The sequence below is a fragment of the Homo sapiens genome, chromosome 1 (assembly GCF_000001405.40).
Source record: "Homo sapiens chromosome 1, GRCh38.p14 Primary Assembly".
In the NCBI taxonomy this organism is placed as follows: domain Eukaryota; kingdom Metazoa; phylum Chordata; class Mammalia; order Primates; family Hominidae; genus Homo; species Homo sapiens.
Genome location: NC_000001.11, coordinates 101,218,448 through 101,242,770, shown reverse-complemented (window position 1 = coordinate 101,242,770; position 24,323 = coordinate 101,218,448). Strand labels below are relative to the sequence as shown.

Sequence of the window (24,323 nt, the reverse complement as noted above, 5' to 3'; positions counted from 1 at the left end):
AAGAGCTCCCCATCTCCCAAAGCCAGCCACCTTATCCCATCTTTCCCCATATCATGAATCACTACTGTGCTTATGAAGATAAGTCGGAGAATATGAACATTTTATCTTCCACAGAAACACAAAATGGACATACTTTTCCATTATGCTTGACTCTGTAATGAAAGTCTAGGAAGTGAATGTAACATGAAATCATTCCTTCCGCCTTAGCAGACAGATGGAGAGAGACATTCCAGTTTGTTTCCAGCCTTTTGTCTTTGGAGCATTTTTGGCATTTCCTTCAGGAAACTGGAGGTTGTGACCTAAGGTTTCCTTAGTGAACACATTTCTGTTTCCCACAGTTAACCTTACCCAGAAATGACATCTACTCTATTAGGTGAGGTTTATCTTCATGTCCCAACTGTGTCCTGTGCATATACAATGACACTTGAAAGCACAAATTCTGAAAGTAGCGAAAAGATTAGAGAGCCCAACATGCCAAAACACTTTAATCCCCCAAAAGATGACAATAATCAAAAACAAGAATTAACTATTACAATAAGTCTGTGATGCTTGCAAAGTGCCTTCATTTTGTAGTTGGAAAAATTAATGACTGAGAATATTAATGCTTTCAGATACTATGAATTGAAGGTTTTCAGATAAAAGTGTTATGCTACTCAGCCCACATTTTACAGCTAGCTGCTTCACTGATACTGTATACTTCTATGTGGTTCAGAAGATAGGCTGGGAGAAGCCAAGACAGTGTCCTGAAAAAAAAAAAAAAAAAACACATGATTTAATACCCATATCCATATCCCCACTTCCCCAACATGTTGGTGAAAGGCCAAGAATGTATGCTTTTTTGATGGGTTTTGAATGATGATTGAGTCTCATCATTTAAACTAGATTTACAACCACATTTTTGTGTATAATTTCTTTAAAAGCCCATATTTGATGACAGAATTATTGCATTTAATTTATTTGGCTTAAATGCAGTTTAAAACTCAAACAATTCTACTTACTAGCCAATGTGGTATTCAGAAGGTTGGTGGTTTTTATCTCATTCTTTACTACTCTTCAGTGTTAACTTATTGAAGTTTCTCTTCCTGAAAAAGATAGAGTGGTTTCTAAACAAACCACACTTTTTTCACACCCTAGTTAAGGTAAAAATCCTTTAAAGAATAATAGAAATTTGTCCTTCACTTTGATTCCAAAGAGCTACACAATCCAGTAGATGACTCAATAATTATTTTTAAGAATGCTCTTCACAAAGGGATCTTTAAAAAAATCAGTTTATTAATGTTTAAAAGTTGATAAAGCTATGTGCAAAATGATCCACAAAAGTCAGAAACCTATTAAATACTATTCTTTTTAAAAAAACAAGACATCTCTCGGTTTAATTGCACTGAAAACCATACTAAAGAGACAGTAATATATTTTTATTCTTTGTAATATTTATACATATCTTCAATTACTATCTAATGAATAGCTGGACTGAAAAGTTTCTGGCGTTCCCTACCAGTTAAAGTAATGCTTTTAAGGGCACAAGAGGGTGGTATTTTCTTAAGAAATACACATTCAATGGTGTTAACACGGGTTAGAAAAATCCAATAAAATGACTTCTGCTGAAACAAATACATTCAAAAATCAAGAAAAGTACTTTTAACACAACAAAATACAACCATGTTGTTGCTTGAAATGAATCACACAACATTCTGAAATAAACATCAACAAAAGTGCCAAAGACAGATGTCATATTTGTTAGACTCATTTGCTAAGAAATCTCCCTTGGTTTGCAAAAGTTAATCCATTCGGTTTTCACTTTGTTTTGCTTGTCTGTTTCTCCTAGGACACCAAGGATCCTGGCTAATATCATTTAGATAAAGTGGGCTTCCTTATGCAGATTTCGGCTTCAATGGATATGAAATGGTAACACATTTCATTGAAAAGATGTTTTTTAAAGAAATCAAAGTGACTTCAACCAAATTCCAAAAAACGGATCCCGCTTACATGGAAACTTTGGCCTCAGCGAAGGACATTGTTTTACACCTCCAAACCATCTTCATCTTCCCACAGCCTACGTACTCAACATAGCCTATTTGCTATAGATGATCGATCATTCCACAACCCCAGCTCTGATAACTCTCAGGTAGTTAAAGTATAAAGTAAAAGAACGTTGAGGAGGGGTATGAAGGGAAGGGAGGGTGGGGTGTGGGATGTACAGGGCATCCCTAAAGAAGCAGAAGTGCACACACTCACTTGGGTTTGAAACTAAAGTGAAGGAAAACATCTCCTCAAAGCTCCAGACAAAGAGACGCTTTCACATGGGGACATTAGTCTTTGAGGAGGGGCCAAATGAACCCTTTAGGAGCTTGACAATGCTAGACCTTTGGCTCAGTGCAAAATCAAAGCTCCAGGGGGGTAGAAAATATATTCCAGGCCGGGACCTGATCTCCACCCTTCCCAGTGCATTGTTCACAGGAACTAACTCTACCCACCAACACCCGACACCACCAGGCTGTTCGTATTCTCCCCCTTCCTCCCTCTGGCTTGCAGCAGCTCCTCCCTGGCAGCAGTCGAAGCCCAGAGATTTTTTTCCAAACACTGGGGTGGCCAGCGACCAAGTAAAGAGCGCTTCCGGTGGGTGGACAGCTTCCAGTTCTAGGAAGAAGAGTTGACGTTTCCAGAAGACATAATGGTCTCTGGGTTGTCCCCTTCGTCTTTCTGGGGGTGGGAGGAATTGTCCGATTTGCTGCGGCTGAATTCCATGCCGGCGATGATGGGTCGCTTGAATTTGCCAGCAGAGTCTCCGCTCGGGCACTTGCAGCAGGACATGATCCGGATGAAGGCCCGACGCATCTCCTTGTTGGTCAGAGTGTAAATGATGGGGTTGGTGCCGGAGTTGAGCACAGCTAACACCAGGAAGTACTCCGCTCTGAAGAGGATGTCACAGGTCTTCACCTTGCAGCCCACATCCAGCAGGAGCAGGATGAAGAGCGGTGCCCAGCAGGCGATGAAGACGCTCAGGACGATAATTACGGTCTTGAGCAGCGCCAGCGACTTCTCAGAGCTGCGGCTGGCCTTGGAAATGTTCTTGCGGAACGTCAGGCGGCGGCTCCGAGTCCTGACCAAGGAGTAGATTCTGCAGTACAGAATGACGATGGAGAGCAGAAGCAGAGTGAAGACCGTGGTGCAGAAGAGGATATAGTGCTTGTGGTAGAGCGGCAGCACGGTGGAGCAGCTGGACAGCGCACTGATGCAGTTCCAGCCCATGATAGGCAGGCCACCCAGGATGAGGGAGATGACCCAGCAGGCGCTGATTAGCAGGAAGAGGCGGAAGTTATTGCTCCCGTTGTGGAGTTTCATTTTCAGCATTGTGATATAGCGCTCAATGGCGATGGCGAGGAGACTGAACACGGAGGCTGACAGGGCCACAAACATACTCCCTTCCCGCAGAAACCACTGGGCGGGAGTGAGCTTGTAGGTGGTGGCCCCAGACAAGAGCAGGTTAGCTGTGTAGGCTACTCCTGCCAACAGGTCTGAGAGGGCCAGATTGCCAATAAAATAGTACATGGGTCGGTGGAATTTCTTGGTTTTCCAAATGGTCAGCAAGACAAAGATGTTCTCCAGGATGATAAAGCAGCAGATGAGAATGAACACCACCGAGGTCAGTTTAATGCTGTTCTCCTTGTCCGCGCTGATATTCAGCTTTCCCGTGTAGTTGTAATGCCGGACGATGATATCATAGTTGACGTAGTCAGAGACCGAGCTGCGGTGGGCCTTGACCAGCGGGACGCTGGTGGGCCCCATGGTGCCAACCCTGTGTCCCCAGGAAGCCGGGGTGGCGCTACTCCAGACGAACGCTAGAGGGCGAGGCGAGAGAGCCTTCACTGGCTTCAGGGGTGGTTCGATGAGTGATCCAGGCTTTTTGTGTAGCTTTTCCTTGGCTGGAGAGGGCCTCGGAAACCGCAGCCTTAAACAAGTCAGAGGAGAGAGTCAGGGAAAGAGCCACAGCATACTGGCATAATTCATTCTAGCTAAGGCACTGCTCCAATTGTGTTGTTGTTGATTTGTTTTAAAGAAACTTGGGGAGAGCTCAGGGAGAGAGATTTTTTTTAAAAATCAAATTATCTTTTTTCTTCCTTTTTTTTCTTTTTTCAAAAAAGGAAGAGGGGGAAGAAAAAGAGAGGGAGAAACTCTATGGCCACATTCACTCAAAGGGAAATGGGAATTACGATGTTGGCTGTGGGTTGACAAAAAAAAAAAGATGATGAAAAGGAAAACAAGGAGTGGGAGGAATGGGAAACCTAGAGAACTACACCCCATTTTAACTCCACTCCTGCCCTCTCACCACCCCACACCCCCTCACCCCCGGATTTCCAGCCATGAGATTCTCTGAAGCAGTCACCAGCTTAGCTGCACGCTCAATACCAGCCCACGTCTCTCCTCGGAAAAGACTCAACTGCCAGTCTGAGGGCGAAGACACACACCTCTGTCCCCCATGCCCACCCCCAGCCCCCCAGTTCAAAGATACTAGCACCACCTCCTAATTGCCATGTGCCATGCAAGAAATCAGATTTGCAGGAAAATCATTTGAAAGCGTAAGCCATTTGGGGGCTCTATTAATAACTCTCTAGGAGCAGGTGTGCTTAGGGTCCGAGGGCGCAGTGAGGTGTGGGCAGCCAGGCCCGCCCCGCCTTGCTGTAAACAGGAAAGCTTAGCGCCTCCGTGAAGCGACTGCCTTTTCTTTCTTCTTCTTATTCTCCCCGCCTCCCCCCGCGCCCCCCCACCCCACCCCCCACCCCAAGCCAGGGCAAGTAAATTTAAAGGTATTCAGTTAAAACCATTCATAACAGATTGCAGCAAATCCCAGAAGTTTCGTACATTAGTTGATTGCATAAATATTTTTTGCTTTGTTTAGTTTAGCCAAAACATACACAAAAGAGAGAAATCAAACTACTCATGACAGCCATAATACATGCTACCACATTTCTAATTTCGATTGCAAAACTACTCTTCAGAAACTCACATTAAACTGCTCCCTGGTGCATTGCTAAATTTGCGTGGGCAGTTTTATTTACTGCAGTCCCCCAACACGTTGACTCCTCTCCTAGGACTAGAAAGTTACAAAGAAACTTTCTAAGACGGCACTGGTCAGCAGAAGTCTACTTCTAAGTTGCTTAAATATTTCAAGGTAATGCAGCAATGCAATAAAATGAGGTAATAGAGATGAGAACAATCCCAGCAACTCCGCGAACAGCAGAGGCTGCTCAAGCCAAGAAGCTCCGCATTTTCCCCCAACTAATTTTATACCCTGCTCCTGGGCAGTACTAATTTAAGCCATTACCCACGCTCCACACCACCCACCATATTCTTTGTCTATAGGATTTCCAAAATTTAACGCCTTCCCTCCTATTCCTCCGACCAACTGCAATTTTCACTGCCCCTACACCCGTAGGTTCCACAGTTGGGAATTAACCTTTTTTCTGAACTCCATAAATCACAAGTGCCCAAGAACAATCTGATCGAGATGGGCTCCTTAGTAGCCCAGAGATGCAAATTTTCAGCGCCCGGAGATGCATGTTTTCTAAGTTTTTGTTTGCCTCGTTCGACTTAAAAATTCGTTTCTGACACCTAAGCCCTACCACAACCGGGCTCCCCGCGCCCGCGACCCCCGCCATTCGCCGCCCCCTACCTCGCTCAAGCAGGGCGAAGTTGCGTTCGGAGAGCCCGGGATCTGTACGGCTCGCTTCGCATCTTGCTGCTGCCCCCGACTGACTGCGTAGTGCTCTCGCAAACTTACTCGAGTCGGGGTCCCCTCCCTCCGCAGCGGAGCACTCCAATGGCCAGTCCCGCTCGCCGCGGCCAGTTCCCTGCCTGCTACGCGAAGTCACCCAGCGCCGCGCCAAGGCTGGGTGGTTTCTTCAGGAAGAGGCTGGGAGGGGTTAATGCCTTAACCCCCCACGCCCTCTGTCAGCTGGGGGCCCCCGGATCTGAACTGCTGAGACGCACTGTCCAGGAAAGATCTGGGGCAGAAGCAAAAAAAAAAAAAAAAAAAAAAAAAAGAACCCCTCCTCCCCAAACAACAAATGAAAGAAAAAAAGAGAGAGAGAGAAGGGGCGGAGCCCGGTAACCCCTGGATTCTACTGTATAAATCACTGCCCTCGCCCAGATAGACGCTGATCCCTGGCTGTGGAGAGGATTCTCCCGAGCCCCTGAAAAAAAAAAAAGGTGGAGAGACTTTGAAAACTTTTCTCTCGAAAAGTCTGAGGAGGCAGAGGACGGCCCGGAGTCTCGTAGCGCACCGCCCTGGTCCCACACCCCCCGCAGCCCTAGGAGGATCGGTGTGCTGAGCTTGTGGCCAGGAGCTCCCCGAGCCACTTTCGCGCGAGCAGCAGAAAACCTGAGCCGCGGCCCGGCGAGTGTCGGCGGCGCTCTGGGGAGGAGAGGCTGGGAAGGGGCTGCGAGAGGTACGGAGGAGACAAGCAGCCCGGGAGGGAGAATGAACCGGGAGGTTCCTGTACTCCCCCCGCCACCCCAGATCCTCGTGCTACTCGCAACTGCGGTCTGAGGGGCAGTGGCTTTCCCAGAGTGCACAGAGAAATGAACCAGCGCCGGTTTTGGTGTTGGGCGAGGGGTTTCCCTCAGCTGAGCACAAAGTCAGGCTGTGTGTCCCAGATTCTGGCCAATGGAGAGGTCGTTGAGGGGGTGGGCTGCTGCTGAGTCCTGAGAGATTCAAAACGCCTGGGCAGCTCAGGAATTTCCAAAGGGGGAGATTCTCGGCCAGGAGCTGCGGAGCAACTGCAGCTGCCCAGCAGGAGCCGGCACCCTTCTCTCACATTCTGCTTGGGAGTCGACTCAGAGGCCTCAAATCTCATTACTAGCACTTTGCCCACCCTTTTCTTTTGCTTAGATGCTACTTAAGAACGTGAGGCTGAGAGGCGGACTTGGTCAGATCTGCCTGCGTGACAAGCTCAGGACAGGACGCTTCTGCCCTTGCATTACTGTTGTAAAAGTTTCCACCCAGTCCCTGGTCGCACTGCGTTCCCATCCCGGCAGATGTGAACTCAAAAACTTCCTCCGCTGTGCAGTTTCAATTGGCAGACACACCCTGTACCTGAATGACTCAGAAGGAGGCAGAATGAACAAACAACAGACCCCTGACTTCTGGGATTTTGTGAGTTTGCCAAAAAAAAAAAAAAAAGAAGTGACAGTTAATTCACAGCTGTTTTAAAGCATTCATCGACAGCGACGCACCCAATACATACCCACAGCTTCAACAACAGTACAGTGCATATAATGTGGAAACCAAGATAACGGTCCTCTAAGACTCCAGAGTAGATCCTAATTGGATTTGAAGACTTATTTCACTTAAAGGGGAAGAGGTATATTGTGTCTACCCAGCACAACAAAACGGGGGACTTGGCATTCCCCCCCTTCTCCCGCCTCCACCCACACTAATTTATGCATTCTTTAAAGCCAAAGGAATCAAAGTGAAATTTCACACCTAGTCTGTATCAAGCATGTGCTAGGTTAATTTAACCTTACTGCTCTGTGAAGTAAGTAAGCATTGCTGGCCATTTTATTGTTGAGAGAAGTGTCATTCAGACAACTAAGGTGACTTGTAGATTTCCCAGCTAGTGAGTGGCAGAGCTGGGTTCCAAAACCTAAATATTGCAAATGCCTTGCCTTGTGGCTCAAACGCTATCAGTCAATAAATAGTTAAGGAATTGAAATATATGTTCCTAGAGGGAAACAGACTTCTAGATTTAAAGTTTTACATTTGCTGCATTTCTGACTGTACAAGTCTACAAAATGCATATAAAAGTATGCTAATGAATGTCCTTTTAAAACCACTCATTTTCTACGTAAGCATACAAAGTGTATACATATGCATATTAATGAATGTTTTCTGAAACTTCTCATTGTCTGCCTATGATATCTCATGTAACATTGTACTTTTAGTATTTGCACATAGTGTTACACATATTAATCCATTTAATCTGACAAGTTAGGCACTATAATTATTCTAATTTTACAAACAAGGAAATTGACTCCCAGACATATTAAGCAGCTTGCTTAATGTGGGACAGGCTGCAGACTCTTAACCACTACTCCAGACCACCATGATAAACCTCAAACAGGTTCAAGAATTTCCTTGGGGATATCAGTTGTTTTCTTGTGAATACCACTGGTTTTTAACATTCAATATTGATAAAGTGTTTTACAGAGTCCAAAAACCTTTCAGATTGTTATTTAATAATATTCATCTTTAGTACACACCTATGAGATGTAATTGTAGATGATCAACTTAGGTAAAATTAGATAGTAGGCAAATGTTTCCAGCAATGGCGTCCTGGCCAATTCCAAGTCTCTAGTTCCCATATAAGTCTCTTCCCATTGCTCTCCAAGGAGGCCCTAAAAATTGCATTCTCAAGCTATCTCCTGACTGCCAGTACAACTCCCTGTCTGCTGCTGCCTAGAAGTCAAGCCCAACATTCCTACCTTAAGTTTGCTCCATTTCCAATTTTTGATTTCAAAGTGGCTTTGTTGTTCTTTACACATGCTTTAGTGTTTCTCTTTAAAAGTTTACAGATAAAATACCACACAATCTTTGGAGCATACACTAAACAAAAATTTGTCATAAATGTGCCATTCAAATGTAACTGTGTGAGCTATCTTTTTTTTTTTTTTTTTTTTTTGAGACAGAATCTCACTCTATTGCCCAGGCTGGAGTCCAGTGGCGTGATCTCAGCTCACCGCAACCTCCGCCTCCCAGGTTCAAGCAATTCTCCTACCTCAGCCTCCTGAATAGCTGGGATTACAGGCATGCACCACCACACCCAGCTAGTTTTGTATTTTTAGTAGAGATGGGGTTTCACCATGTTGTCCAGGCTGGTCTCGAACTCCTGACTTCAGGCGATCCACCTGCCTTGGCCTCCCAAGGTGCTGGGATTACAAGCATGAGCCACCGAGCCCAGCCATGAGCTATATTTTTTATCTGCTAAATATTGCAACTCTACTCTTTTCCCTTTCCTTTTTTTTTTTCTTTTTTTCAACTGAGACAGGGTCTGGCTCTGCTCTGTCATCCAGGCTGGAGTGCAGTGGCGAAATCATAGCTCACTGCAGCCTTGATCTCCCGCCCTCAAAGGATCCGCCTACTTCAGCCTCCCAAGCAGCTGGGACTACAGGCACCAGTCACCATGTCCTGATAATTATTATTTTTATTTTTTGTATAGACAGGAGTCTCACTTTGTTGCCCAGGGTGATCTTGAACTCCTGCGCTCAAGCAGTCCTCCCACCTTGGACTCTCAAAGTGCTGGGATTACAAGCCTGAGCCTTACTCTCTTTCCTAATTGCTCCAGTCACTTTCCAACTCCCTTTTCTCCCCTCTTCCCTCCCCTGACCCAGTCACTGGTAAAAATCCAGGCTTTCCCTTACTTGTCTATTCACAGGAGAATAACTAGCCTCTTATTTCAAGGAGGAAATAGTATGACCATCTCAATTTCCCTCCTCTCCAAGCTCCAGCTTAATAGCAACTTTACCCACCCTTACCTCCTTCCCACCTGTTTCAGAAATAAAAGCAACTTTACTCCTTTCCAAGGCAAACTCTTGCCCAGGTCAGCATGCTGCTTCCTCCAAACTTTCTGAGACTTGGCTCAATTATTCTTATTCTCCCTTGTACTTTCAGTTCTTAGCTTCTGAGGACTCTTTACTTTCAACTTACATAAATGTTTATGTGTTTTCTCTACCAAAAACTCTTTCTTCCCTTCATCCTAGGTCCCAATATCTCTCTCTCCTCGTTTGCCAACATTCAAAATTAGTGGAACATGACTGAGCCTTGGAACAGACACTTAGGTTCAGCCTTGATATTGCCAGTTCTAAGCTATGTGACTTTAGGCAAGTTCTTTTAACTTCCTTGAACCTCAGTGTCCTCATCTGTAAAATGAAATAATGATATTTGCCTCTTTCATTGTGAGGATTAAGGAGCTACATACCTGTGAGAATTCCCTACACTACAGAGAAAATGCTTCACCCATCCACCACCTCCATCTTTTATTATTATTATTATTATTATTATTATTATTTTACTTTAAGTTCTGGGGCACATGTGCAGAATGTGCAGGTTTGTTACATAGGTATACACGTGCCATGGTGGTTTGCTGCACCCGTCAATCCGTCACCTACATTAGGTATTTCTCCTAATGCTATCTCTCCCCTAGCCCCCCACCCCCAACAGGCTCCAGTGTGTGATGTTCCCCTCCCTGTGTCCATGTGTTCTCATTGTTCAATACCCACTTATGAGTGAGAACATGCAGTGTTTGGTTTTCTGTTGTTGTGTTAGTTTGCTGAGAATGATGATTTCCAGCTTCATCCATGTCCCTGCAAAGGACATGAACTCATCCTTTATTATGCCTGCATAGTATTCCATGGTGTATATGTGCCACAGTTTCCTTTTCCAGTCCATCATTGGTGGACATTTGGGTTGGTTCCAAGTCTTTGCTATTGTGAATAGTGCCACAATAAACATATGTGTGCATGTGTCTTTATAGTAGAATGATTTATAATCCTTTGGGTATATACCCAGTAAGGGAATTGCTGGGTCAAATGGTATTTCTAGTTCTAGATCCTTGAGGAATCGCCACACTGTCTTCCACAATGTTGAACTAATTTATACTCCCACCAACAGTGTAAAAGCGTTCCTATTTCTCCACATCCTCTTCAGCATCTGTTGTTTCCTGACTTTTTAATGATCACCATTCTAACTGGCATGAGATGGTATCTCATTGCGGTTTTGATTTGCATTTCTCTAATGACCAGTGATTATGAGGTTTTTTCATATGTTTGTTGGCTGCATGAATGTTGTCTTTTGAGAAGTGTCTGTTCATATCCTTTGCCCACTTTTTGATAGGGTTGTTTGGTTTTTTCTTGTAAATTTGTTTAAGTTCTTTATAGATTCTGGATATTAACCCTTTGTCAGATGCATAGATTGCAAAATTTTTCTCCCCTTATATAGGTTGCCTGTTCACTCTGATGATAGTTTCTTTTGCTATGCAGAAGCTCTTTAGTTTAATTAGATCCCATTTGTCAATTTTGGCTTTTGTTGCCATTGCTTTTGGTGTTTTAGACATGAAGCATTTGCCCATGACTATGTCCTGAATGGTATTGCCTAGGTTTTCTTCTAGGATTTTTCTTGTTTTAGGTCTTACGTTTAGGTCTTTAATCCATCTTGAGTTAATTTTTGTATAAGGTGTAAGGAAGGGGTCCAGTTTCAGTGTTCTGCATATGGCTAGCCAGTTTTCCCAGCACCATTTATTAAATAGGGAATCCTTTCTCCCTTTCTTGTTTTTATCAGGTTTGTCAAAGATCAGATGGCTGTAGATGTGTGGTGTTATTTCTGAGGCCTCTGTTCTGTTGCGTTGGTCTATATATCTGTTTTGGTACCAGTACTATACTGTTTTGGTTACTGTAGCCTTGTAGTATAGTTTGAAGTCAGGTAGCATGATGCCTCCAGCTTTGTTCTTTTTGCTTAGGATTGTCTTGGCTATGTGGGCTCTTTTTTGATTCCATATGAAATTTAAAGTAGTTTTTCGCAATTCTGTGAAGAAAGTCAATGATAGCTTGATGGGGATAGCATTGAATCTACAAATTACTTTGGGCAGTATGGCTATTTTCATGATATTGATTCTTCCTATCCATGAGCATGGAATGCTTTTCCATTTGTTTGTGTCTTCTTTTATTTCCTTGAGCAGTGGTTTGTAGTTCTCCTTGAAGAGGTCCTTCACATCCCTTGTAAGCTGTATTCCTATATATTTTATTCTCTTTGTAGCAATTGTGAATGGGAGTTCACTCATGATTTGTCTCTCTGTCTGTTATTGGTGTATAGGAATGCTTGTGATTTTTGCACATTGATTTTGTATCCTGAGACTTTGCTGAAGTTGCTTATCAGCTTAAGGAGATTTTGGGCTGAGATGGTGGGATTTTCTAAATATACAATCATGTTATCTGCAAACAGAGACAATTTGATTTCCTCTTTTCCTGTTTGAATACCCTTTATTTCTTTCTCTTGCCTGACTGCCCTGGCCAGAACTTCTAATACTATGTTGAATAGGAGTGGTGAGAGAGGGCATCCTTGTCTTGTGCTGGTTTTCAAAGGGAATGCTTCCAGCTTTTGCCCATTTAGTATGATATTGGCTGTGGGTTTGTCACAAATATCTCTTATTAGTTTGAGATACATTCCATCAAAACCTAGTTTATTGAGAGTTTTCAGCATGAAGAGGTGTTGAATTTTGTTGAAGGCCTTCTCTGCATCAATTGAGATAATCATGTGGTTTTTGTCATTGGTTCTGTCTATGTGATGGATTACGTTTATCTATTTGCATATGCTGAACCAGCCTTGCATCCCAGGTATGAAGCTGACTTGACCGCACCACATTTGTCTTTAACTGTCTTTAAGTGCAATCATTGCTTTCACCATCCCACTTTCCATTTTTTTATTCACTTTGCTTTTTAATTTTCCAATAAAATTTTAAAGTCAAAATAATATGTGCATATCATTTTAAAGAGATCAAATGGTACAAAACTTGAAAAGAAGAGCATTAGTCCTCCGAGGTTCCCTGGTTCACCAATTTTTCCAGTCACTGTGAAGTCTTGTTGATTTTCTTCTGGTAGCCATTTGCAAATCTTGAAATCCCATGTTTTATACCTCCATTTCTTCATTATCAATCTTATAACAATATCTATAGGTTTTCTGCCATGTTGAAGGAGTATTAATTAACTTGAAGAAGGATGCTTATATTATAAACTTTCTGAATTCTTGCATGTCTGACATTTTAAATATTCTATTATTTACTTGAATAATATTTTGACTAGGTATCAAGTTAAAAGTTGTAAGTCATTTCCCCTGAGAATTTTGAAAGCATTACTCTTTTGTCTTTTAATTTCTAGGGCTACTGATAAAGAGCATAAAGCTATTCTGATTTCAAAACTTCACAGCTGACTATTTTTTGTCTCTGGATGTTTTTAGAAACTTCTCTGTCTCTTCAGTATTCCAGAGTGACATGATGATATACCTTGATTTTCTAAGTCCTTTGCAGTTCTGAAAATTATCTGAAATTATTTCTTTAATGACTTCATCTTCTCTCCAGTTTTTCTATTTTCCCTTTTTGCAAATCCCACTATTCAGATTGTGGACCATCTATCTAGCCTGATTTTTAAATTTCCTCCTATTTTATTTTCCTTTTTGTACTTTCAATCCTTCAGTTAATAGCTCTCTTTTCACTCTCATACTTTAATTTCCAAGGGCTCTCTTTTTCTTTTCTGAATGTTACATTTTTACAGAACTCTGTTCTTATGTTAGGGATACCACATCTTTACTTATCTCTGAGGATATCAGAGTGTTGTTGTTGTTTTTGTTGTTGACATTTTCTCCTATTTTCTTTGTTGTCACACTTTCCTATTTGTTTTGCTCTCAGTTCTTTGTGCCATTGGCTTTCCCAATTGTCAGATGATCTCTGGCCGTCCATTTATATTTCAAACAGAGGCTAAAATAGAGGCAAATCAGAAAGCTAATTTAAAACTTTGTGTGGGGGCTTGTCAATGGAGGGGTGGTAAATGATCAGGATAAACACTTTCGTTGAGTATGCCAAATGTCAATATCTGGAGTTCTCAAGTTTTGGGCAGGTCAGTTTTGCCAGACAGAAATTCTAAAATCTCTTGTCTGACTTCTAGCATTTTCCGGAGTGAACCAAGAAAGAAAAGTGGGAGAGTGAAGGAGGGAACACCTCACCATTTGATATTTAGATTTGAACTGAATCACCATGATGGGAACCCCCTCTACACACTCAGCTCCATCAGGTGTCTCTGACTCCAGTGACCCTCTGATTTAACCCATTCAGAGAAGAAACCTCCAGTCTTCTCCTGGAATGAGCGTACCGACACTTATCCTATTGTACAGGTTGGAGATGAAGGGCTGGATATTTGGCAGCTTATTTTAATTAAAACAATTTTATTTAAAAATCAAAAAGGAATCCTTTTGTAGTTCATAAGCGTGATCACTGGGTGTTTACGCACGTGTGAGATATGCCATCCTTGAACCTTGTTATGATGTCAGCACATTACCCATCTGACATAAAGAAAAAAAATCAAACAGGAAAATAAACAGAAAGTAAAATAATGAAGGCAATGACTACAACAGGGCTAGAGAGAAGTGGTTGGGTGAGTGTGAAATATTTTCTCACTGCTATAGTGGATACCCTATAATCAGGCTTCTTGTTTTCAGATAAGCATTTATTGCCATTTTCATAAATACCTGGAGCTTCTAAGTCCTCTTATTTGAGGATCTGTAGTGGGAATTTGGTTTGCTTCTACAATCCTCCTGCTATGGGCTTAGGTCTCAACTTTCTCTGGTTTGTCAAGCCACTTACACACAGTTTGTTTTCTAAAACTTTATTGCTATTGTTAGAGGCAAAATTAACTTTGAAACCAATGTAGCTTAAACTTGAGTCCTACACTTCCAAATCCTGGAAGGAACCCAGCAATATGTCCCCAAGATTATATGTTTTTGTAAAATATTAAAAGCATGGTATTTTAACCAAAATTGGCTATGACTGACACAGATCACTGTCTTCTTCCATTAGGACGTTCCCTCTGTCTCATTTTCTCTTGTGTAGGAGTGATTTTGGAGTTGTTGAAGGTATTTTTGGTTTATAGGACTATTTCAACTACCCTCTATGGCTGCCATGATACAAAAGTACAGGGCTGGTGTCACGTGACTGAGCCAGGAGCTAGTCTGGGGGAAATTCATCCAAAATACCATATGCAAATTATAATTTGAGGATTTGATTCTCATTGACACCTAATTAAAACAAAAGTTCTATTCTTCTCAGAATATATTTACTAACTCAGTATATATAATTATAAACACATCACACTTGTTTTTCCATCTTCTTCTTTTTTTTTTTTTTGACACAGAGTCTCACTCTGTTGCCCAGGCTGGAGTGCAGTGGCATGATCTCGGCTCACTGCAACCTCCGCCTCCCAGGTTTAAGCAATTCTCCTGCCTCAGCCTCCCAAGTAGCTGGGACTACAGGTGCACATCATCACACCTGGTTAATTTTTATATTTTTAGTAGAGACGGGGTTTCATCATGTTGCCCAGGCTGGTCTCAAAATCCTGACCTCAAGTGATTCACCCGCCTCAGCCTCCCAAAGTGCTGGGATTACAGGCACTCACTACCAGCTGGAATTTTTGTATTTTCAGTAGAGACAAGGTTTTACTATGTTGGTCAGGCTGGTCTCAAACTCCTGACGTCAAGTGATTTGCCCACCTCAGCCTCCCAAAGTGTTGGAATTACAGGCGTGAGCCACCACACTTGGCCTTTTTTTCCATTTTTAATAAGAATCACATAAAAAAAGATTAATCAAAATTTTCATATATTCGTATGCTATAGCTATTATAATTTGGTTATAAATTTAGGATTATTTCAATGAAATATATGAGAAATTACAGACTGGCCTTATATAAAGAATATTTTGTTATCTATAAATTTATTAAAGGATTGAGAGAAAATTTATATTAAAAATGCATAAAATATGAAACAAAAACAATAAAAATGAGCAATTGAATAAATAAAAATCATTCTGACTTTAGATCATATTGAGAGCATGTTACATTATTAAAAGGAAGATGCATGTTTTGAACAGAAACAGCAAACATATGTTATTTGATTGTTCATAACCTATATAATGAAGAACAATTAATCATGAGAACTAGAAAAAGGTAAATTTCCTGCTGATTTGACACACAAAAAAAATCCCTGACATGAACAAAGACACTGTAAAGGTCAAAATATGTCAGTATGACATAAAGACATCAATAACAGATAGGTTAATAATTATCTCAATCTAAGTGTATTTATGATTAGAGCACAAGAAAACTTGAAATGCTTTGAAATTTCACTATTTATCCATGAAAAACAAGTTATAGGCATTTTCCAAAATTCAGCAACAGTCCTAAAAACTTACCATGATGCTATCAATAATGAATTTTGAAGCTGAAAGAAACTTTTCTAAGCCATCAATTTAAAAAAAATTTTTAATCAAACCTGACAGAAAGAAGACTAAATTACCTTTCATTTCTCTCTAAAGAAAATTATATTTTAACATTTTATTTTCTGAACGGAAGACTGAAGGATATGTAGCCAAGGATGTAAGGAAAAAAAGTCATAAAATGTTTAAGGCAGTTAGTTAATTAAAATATTGTTATTTGTATGATTCATGATGTTTGTTCACTTTTTTTTTTTTTTTTTTTTTTTTTGAGATGGAGTCTCACTCTGTCACCCAGGCTGGAATGCAGTGGCACGATCTCAGCTCACTGCAACCTCCGCCTACCCAGGTTCAAGCGATTCGTCTGCCTCAGCCTCCCGAGTAGCTGGGACTACAGGCGCACACCACCATGCCCAGCTAATCTTTGTATTTTTAGTGGAGACGGGGTTTCACCATATTGGCCAGGCTGGTCTTGAACTCCTGACCTCGTGATTCGCCCGCCTCAGCCTCCCAAAGTGTTGGGATTACAGGCATGAGCCACCGCACCCGGCCACTTTTTTAAATTAGTAATTTGTTGTGATATCTTTTCTTATTCTAACTATATTTACTTTCATACCTAATTTTGTAGTCTTTTTCTAAACAAAGGTTCTCTATCACTAACAGTATAAACTTCTCCCTAGCTCTTGTTTCTTCTTTCATTCTCTTTGTCCTTTTAAGTTTATTTGCTGTAACCAGTAGGACCGAGAAGGGGAAAAGACATGGGTGCAAACCTCCATATTTTAGCAGAAATATCCATTCATAATTTCCTAAAATAGTAATAATTTTTATTTTAATCAAATGTATACACGATTTTAAATGAGATATTTTTGTAAAACTTATTAAAGAATGATTCCTGCCCCACGGTTTTTGCTCCCCAATGGTAACTACTTTTACCTCTTTCACTTTTCCTTTGTGTATTTTCCTCTTATTTCCTAATTATGTTGACACTTTTTTTTTTTTTTGAGATGGAGTCTCGCTCTGTCGCCCAGGCTAGAGTGCATTGGCAAGATCTCAGCTCACTGCAAGCTCCACCTCCAGGGTTCACGCCATTCTCCTGCCTCAGCCTCCCGAGTAGCTGGGACTGCAGGCGCCCGCCACCACACTCGGCTAATTTTTTGTCTTTTTAGTAGAGATGGGGTTTCACCGTGTTAGCCAGGATGGTCTCCATCTCCTGACCTCGTGATCCGCCCACCTCGGCCTCCCAAAGTGTTGGGATTACGGGCGTGAGCCACTGCGCCCAGCTGACACTTTTTTTATTTTTTCAGTTTTAGATATTATGTGTTGACTTTGTCCTGTGAATATTAGGATTTAGCTCTCTTAAACACACTGCTTCTTTCCTGTAGGAGATAAAGAAAAAACCAACCAAACAAACAAAAAACAAAAAAAAACACACTTCTGCCCCTTCCCCCCCACATACATAATTTTCCACTCTTTATAGGTTAAATATTAACATATATTCTTATGACTATGCAGATTTTACTTACAGTTTGGCCATGCATGTACTATGATATATTTGTGTATATATAATGTATGTACATGTATATCACATGTATATATTACATGTATGTACATGTATATTACATATATTACATGTATATACATGTATATTACATATATTACATGTATATACATGTATATTACATATATTATACATAATATTCATGTATATACATGTATATTACATATATTACAAATATTCATGTATACTTTTTGGTTTTTTTTTTTCTTTACTCAGTTTTCTATGTACTTACTGCAATTTATCCACACATTCTTGGAGCATTAAAACACATGAGAAAATATATCAAATTCATGGATACATCACTCCTGAGTTTTCTGTCTTCCTCTCCAGTCCTAGGTGCTGCATAATTTTCATCCTGGGGGTTGCTTTCACCAGTCTCCTGGTTGGAGTTTCATTTCCTGAATCTCCTTCATTCTTTGGTTAAGCCTTTCTATTGATGGAGCTCAGCTTCCAGAAATTTCCTGGTTGATATAATATGGAAAATAAATTCCCTGAGAAGTTGAATGTATAAAAATGTATTTATTCTGCCTTCATTCTTTACTCATAGTTTGACTGAATACAGAATTTTAGGTTAGAAGTTATTTCCCTTGAGGATTTAAAAGGCATTTTTCCATTGTCTTCTGGTATCCAGTGTTGCTATTAAGAACTTTGATGCCATTCTGATTCCCTGTTCTTTCATGTAGGCTGTTTTAATTGCTTTTTTCCCTTTCTACATGCTCTTCTTACAATATAACATTTATACTCCTCCATCAAAGCTGGAATGTATGTTGCCTCTACTTGAACCTGGTGGACCTTTGTAACCAGAATGAGATATTAATGATGCTACCTGACTTCCAAGGCTAGATAATAATAATAATAATAATAAATGGCTAATGTGGTCTCTCTCTCTCTCTCTCTCATGCCTGTGCATGTGTGAGCACCTTGTGAGCTCACATCATGATTGTCTTAGTCCATTCCTGCTGCTACAATAAAATATCTCAGACTGGTTATTTATAAACAACAGAAATGTATTGCTTACAGTTCTGGAGACTGAGAAATCCAAGATCAAGGTGTTGGCAGATTTAGTGTCTGGCGAAGGCTGCTCTCTGCTTCCAAGATGGGTATCTCAATCTAAGTGTATTTACAAGATGGTATCTTTTTGCTATGTCTTCACATGGTGGAAGGGGAGAACACTGTGTCCTCACATGGCAGGAGAGATGGAAAGGCCAGGCAGTTCTCTGGGGCCTCTTTTATAAGGATGCTAATCCCTTCTTGAGGACTCCATCCTCAATCACTTCCCAAAGACCTCACCTCTTAATACCATCAGCTTGGGGTTTAAATTCCAATATACAACATATGAACTTTAAATGAACACATACATTCAAACCATAACAATGATATAGATACCACATGAGAGGAGGAGGAGGAGGAGGAGGAGGAGAGGAGAGAGAGAGAGAGAGAGAGAGAGAGAGAGAGAGAGGGAGAGGGAGAGAGAGAGAGAGAGAGAGAGAGAGAGAGAGAGAGAGAGAGAGAGAGAGAAATGTGAATGGTACCTCAGCTATCTCAGCCCTAGCTGGTCAAGTCTTCCCAGATATATGAGGGAAGGCTTTGAAATGTTCAAGCCCAAGCCACAGACTAAAACCTCTTGAGACACTGAGCCAGAACAACCCAGCTGAGCCACTCTGCATTCTTGTCTCTCAGGAATCGTGAGAGATAGTAAGTATGTTATGGTTTTAAGCCACTAAATTTTAGAGCAATTTGTTGTTACACAGCCACAGTAAATAGGACAATTTATCACTCCACTTCCCACTTCCATCTACGCTTTTAAGATTCTCTCTTTGTCTTGAGTTTTCTGAAAGTTCACAGTGATCTGTCCGAGCATGGCTCTTTGACTCTTTTTCCATACATTTTCTTAGGCACCCATTGAAAAATTCAACTTAGAAACTGCCTTCAGTTAAGATGAGTTATTTAAATTAATTAAATCTTCAAATTATTTTTTGTTAATTTCACTTTCCCTATTTTCTTTATTCTTTTACTAAAAAATTTATATTATTTTGATGATAAAACTCCTGAATCAATCACATAGGTCACTTTTCTAACTTCATGTGGGAGTTTCTTGACTGCACTTCGCAAGCCTTTATCTCTCACTCAACAAATATTTACTAAGACCCTACTCTGTGCTAAGATGCAGCAATACAAAATAAGTTAACTGAGATTTTAATTTCTACTATCAAATATTTAATTTTAAGAACTTATTTTTGTTTTCTGAGTGTTACATGTTGTTTTCTCCTTTTTTGTTCTAGGTTTTCTTCATCCTCATTATCGCATTTTTTGTTTTTTTTTTAGTCTCTAACTTTCATGTTAGCAGCTTAGCTAACATCACTGATGATTCTTGGATGTCATTTGTTAATATTTTAGACGCACACACAACTATGGGAGCACTATATGTTGTTAACAGGTAGACATTGCTGCAAGATTATCTGGCTGAGCCATTTTACTGGGAGACTCCTGATTCTGGGATATTCATTTATTTAAAGAAAAATCTTTCACTCTTCTTTCTAGAAGATATAAACCGATTCCAGCATTCCTGGAAGAGTGGGTGAATGTAGCTGGGCTATCTCATCACTCAGCATATAGACTTCAGCTTAACCCTCCCGTTTCTACTGTGGCCTTCCACAGAGTCATTCCGTTCACTCTCTCTATCCCGTCTTCTGCCCCAATATGGAAAAAACAGTCCTGGCTCTGCTGGGTTGGGGATGAATCTTGGTGGGACAGGATGAAGGAGAGAGGACGGTCTAACTACTTCTTAAGCAGACTTTCAGTTTTCATCTTAAGTCTCACCCCTACTTTCAGAGGTACCTACAACCCCTAATTTGGAGGTACCTACAACCCCTAATTTGGAGGCCTTCCTTGGGTTCTATTGAGCAACTCAGCTTCCTTCTGTGCTTCCTTCATTACAGCTCTAGTTTTCTATTTTCTCAGTTGCACTCAGCAAATTAACACTCATCTACCTGCTTTTCAGTTTCCAAAATTTGGTTGTTGTCATCTGTCTTTTCCTTTTCTTTGTTTATGAAAAAAAAATCCCTTTACTATTGTATCAGTGAAGTTTTAAGACTGGAGGGAAGTGAAAGTGTTCAATTCACCATCTCTGAACAGAGGTCATTTTCATTTTCTCTTCAACCCATCCATACAGCTCTCTTGACCTTACTCTTTCTGAGGACACAAATGACTCCCTAATCATCACAGCCAAGGACCCCTACTGACTTCTCATTCTAAAGGATCCCCCTGTGCCGTTTGACACTGTTGACCACCTCCTCGTTCAAACTCTTCCCTCTGTTTTCTGTGACACTGCTCTGTCTCATTCTCTTCTGACTCAGATCACTCTTTCCCAGTATTCTTACTTGGCTTCTTTTTCTATATTACCTTAAATATCCTTACTCCTGGGAAAATAATGATATAATCTGGATTATGTGCCAGGCACTGTACTAAATAGGCACTTTGTGTGTAATACATTTATCTTCTCAACAACTCAGGTAGGTATTATTAAGTAACCCATTTCACAGGTGAAGAGATCAAGGGCACAAGAAACTTAAGTAATTTGTCCAAAGTCTCGCAGCTTTTTACCACTGTACCTATTACCTCTACAAATGCTACATTTTTTAGTTTTCCCTCTTATTTGTTTGCAGTTTGCTGGACTTTCTCATCTACTTCCAGAACTTAATCTCTCACATATACCTATATTCAGACAACTCTGAACTGTCCGTTTTCAGTCCTACCTTTCTTCTAAGCTCCAAAACTCAATGTCCAAATATTTATTGGAAACTTCCATCTGCATGTCCCACAAACACCTCAAAATCAAAATATCTGAGGTCCAAACATGTCATTTTCACAACTCTTTCTTCTCAAAAGAACTCAACTTGTTTGGTTTTTATATATATCAGTTAATGGCATCAGCATTTACCTCCACGGGAAAGTTAGAACACTCAACGTTTGTTCCGACTGCTCACTCTCTCACCTTCTGTGTGAAATTTGCTGCTAAGACTGTTGTTCTCTGAAGGGCCTTCTGATTTCATTGCATTTCCTCATCATCCTCCCACTATCCTTGTCAGGCCCTTACGTGCTCTTGATAACAGCTTCCTCCTAACTAGTCTCAGCTCTAATCTGCCACATCACCATCAGAGCTATCTTTCTAAATACTTTTTTAAGATCTGTTCATTCTACTTATTTAGGGTTGACAGGTGATTGACTCTAAACAACCAAGTCTTGGGAAAGAAGGGGCTCCTCACATACAAAAAAATAGCAAGGTACCTTAAAAAACATCTCATGTATACGTTTACAGATTAATACACATATACCAGGAAAAAATAAAAGCTGTAATGTTCCAAAGCATCGGTGATTAAGGACCAATGAGAAACTAAGATAAAGCAATTCTGAACTTATACTGATGAGCTGGACATTCATTTATTTATTAACAATTATTTATTGAGCACCTACTGTGAACCAGCAGGCATTCTTCTAGGAACTGGGACTGCTGCCATGAAAAAGACAGATAAGGTTCCTGATACCATGCAGTTTATATTCCTGTAAAGAAGACAAATGAATAAGCAAATAAATATGTAAGAAAATATCGGATGACAAGGAGTACAATGCTGAGAGCTAGGACAGGATGACTGCCTTAAGTCGTTCTTCTGGGTGGCCAGGGTTGGCCTCTCTGAGTGGGTGGCATTGAATACTGATGTGCCATGACAGGCTCAGGCCTCCTGAGCATCAGGGAGGCCTGAGAAAAACTCTGCCCTGTCCTGAGAGGCAGCAGGCCTAGTGAGGGGAATTTTGAGGCAAGCACCCTGAGGCCTATCTGGGGACTCATTTAGTGGCCTAGGGCAAGTCTCCCCCTCTCTGGGCCACTGAAGTCCTTTCCGCCCCTAGCACACTGTTACTTGCCTTCCTGGGCCCTGCTTCCCTCAATTCTCCCCAATTTATGATTCTTTCAACTGCAGAGCCTGAAATAAAAAGGCCTGGCTGGGCCTCTATTCTGTCAATCATGGAGCGTTGCTTGGCCAGTGCGGCGGGAGCTCCAGGCAGCCAGAGCATGGGGTGGCAGATGCCAGGAGCTGCTCCAGGCAAACACGTGGCTGTGGCTCCCTCACCTGCCAGCCACACCTGCCAGGCAGTGGAACCCCGGGGGCAGCCCTAACATTCAATTTCACCTTCTCGTCAGGCAAATTTTGGAAGTAATCTCTGCCCAATTGTGGAATTACGTTTACATGTCTGTAAACTAACATGTTGGCGAAACCTAAGTATTCATGATCGAACTTTTAAAAATAGAGGATGAGGGAAAACAACAAAAATTACTCCGTCTACACACACACACACACACACACACACACACACACACAAATTCAGTGAATACAAATACCAGAAGAAACTTTGGTATATATACAAAGTAAATCAAATTTGTCAGCTTTGAAAATCTGCTCAATAGATGACTTTTCTAAGGAATCACTTCTCTAGCTATTTTGGAAACAGTTTGGAGACAGATTCTCCAACAGGTTTTATGTTCTATAGACTCCCTCTTTCTAAAGTTTCCAAACTAGTCTTACGGGCCTGAAATTTTGTGTCTTTTACATTTGTATTCTCTCTCGTTATGTCATTCTCACAAGTCTCTAAAACGATCCAATTCTTCATGCTAATTGCTAATGTAATTAAGGGCCCTTTGGGACTATCAGCATAAAGAGAGCCTCTCATTCTGCATCATCCAGCAATCCAGGCCATGTGGAAGAAAGAACAGTGATTGCTCTCACATTTACATGTTTAAAGAGATTGACTGAGGCCGGGTGTCATGGCTTATGCCTGTAATCCCAGCATTTTGGAGGCTGAGGCGGGCGGATCACTTGAGGTCAGGAGTTCAAGACCAGTCTGGCTAACATGGTGAAACCTTGTCTCTACTAAAGATACAAAAATTAGCTGGGCGTAGTGGCACATGCCTGTAATCCCAGCTACTTGGGAGACTGAGCCAGGAGAATTGCTTGAATCCAGGTGGCAAAGGTTGCAGTGAGTCGAGATTGCGCCACTGCACTCCAGCCTGGGTGACAGGGCGACACTTTGTCTCACAAATAAATAAATAAATAAACTGAATTGTGCCTACATAAAAAAGAAGTACTTTTAATTGGTAAGAAATATAAAGGCATTTTAATATCACAACTCTGGTTGGCAAATAGAAGGGATTACTCTGCTTTTAAGCAAGTTCACAGCTTTGAATTTATTTGTTCCCTGTGTTTTACCAGAAATACCCCTAAGATGGTAAGTGAGTTGCTAGAGGTCACTTAGTGAATCTATAGCTGGGCAAGATAACAAATTGTAGGCTCCTGGCTTCTCACCACACTCAAAAAGCAGTTCAAATTAAAAATGTGGAAGGAAGGGAAGGAGGAAGGGAAGAAGGGAGGAAGAGAGAGAGGGAGGGAGGGAGGAAGGAGTGGAGGAAAATAAGAAAGGCATGAAGGAAGTAAAAGAGGGATGGAGGAATACCCAACAGTATTCATTCTTCTGTAATCGTTATCTATTTGTTTATTGTCTGACCCTCCCACTAGAATGTAAGTTCCATAAAGGCTGACATTTTGTCTATCTCTTACTACTGTATGCTATACATATATTAGCACTTAGTGCAGTCCCTGGTACATAGATATTAATTAATAAATAAATAAATGTCTTTCATACTCATCCTGAAGTATGTCAAATGGAGTGGACCATTTGAAAGCAGCTAGAAT

At 41.1% G+C, this 24,323-nt stretch overlaps 1 protein-coding gene, 1 long non-coding RNA gene and 1 other non-coding gene across 11 annotated transcripts, besides 2 other annotated features; 2 read left to right on the top strand and 1 right to left on the bottom strand.

The window, feature by feature from the left end:
• S1PR1 (sphingosine-1-phosphate receptor 1) lies at window positions 458-5,872 on the bottom strand. Of its 9 annotated transcripts, none has more exons than NR_174350.1 (3): window positions 5,780-5,872; window positions 2,236-3,949; window positions 458-743 (listed from the first exon to the last, which is right to left on the bottom strand). NR_174350.1 is itself a non-coding variant. In NM_001320730.2 (2 exons), exon 2 carries the CDS (start codon window positions 3,784-3,786, stop codon window positions 2,638-2,640), a length of 1,149 nt encoding a protein of 382 aa, NP_001307659.1. In that variant the 5' UTR covers window positions 3,787-3,949; window positions 5,780-5,872; the 3' UTR covers window positions 1,253-2,637. The 9 variants fall into 9 exon arrangements, 2 of the variants coding, with proteins under 2 accessions (NP_001307659.1, NP_001391.2); NR_174348.1 differs by lacking the exon at window positions 2,236-3,949 and adding an exon at window positions 999-1,082; XR_007095678.1 differs by lacking the exon at window positions 5,780-5,872 and adding an exon at window positions 5,672-5,752 and having other exon boundaries at window positions 999-3,949.
• Window positions 3,890-3,939: an enhancer, noted in NCBI's record as "active region_1396". NCBI's record gives its function as "activates an Ori minimal core promoter by ATAC-STARR-seq in GM12878 lymphoblastoid cells {active_cell/tissue: GM12878}" and the evidence as "EXISTENCE:reporter gene assay evidence [ECO:0000049][PMID:35858748]".
• On the top strand, window positions 6,243-7,898 carry S1PR1-DT (S1PR1 divergent transcript). The gene is made up of 2 exons (NR_104626.1): window positions 6,243-6,446; window positions 6,890-7,898. It is a non-coding gene; the product is annotated as a S1PR1 divergent transcript (long non-coding RNA).
• Window positions 6,573-6,662: an enhancer, noted in NCBI's record as "active region_1395". NCBI's record gives its function as "activates an Ori minimal core promoter by ATAC-STARR-seq in GM12878 lymphoblastoid cells {active_cell/tissue: GM12878}" and the evidence as "EXISTENCE:reporter gene assay evidence [ECO:0000049][PMID:35858748]".
• LOC124904817 (small nucleolar RNA U13) lies at window positions 14,006-14,107 on the top strand. Its single transcript, XR_007067413.1, has one exon. It is a non-coding gene; the product is annotated as a small nucleolar RNA U13 (small nucleolar RNA).
• Window positions 14,108-24,323: the final 10,216 nt, after the last annotated feature.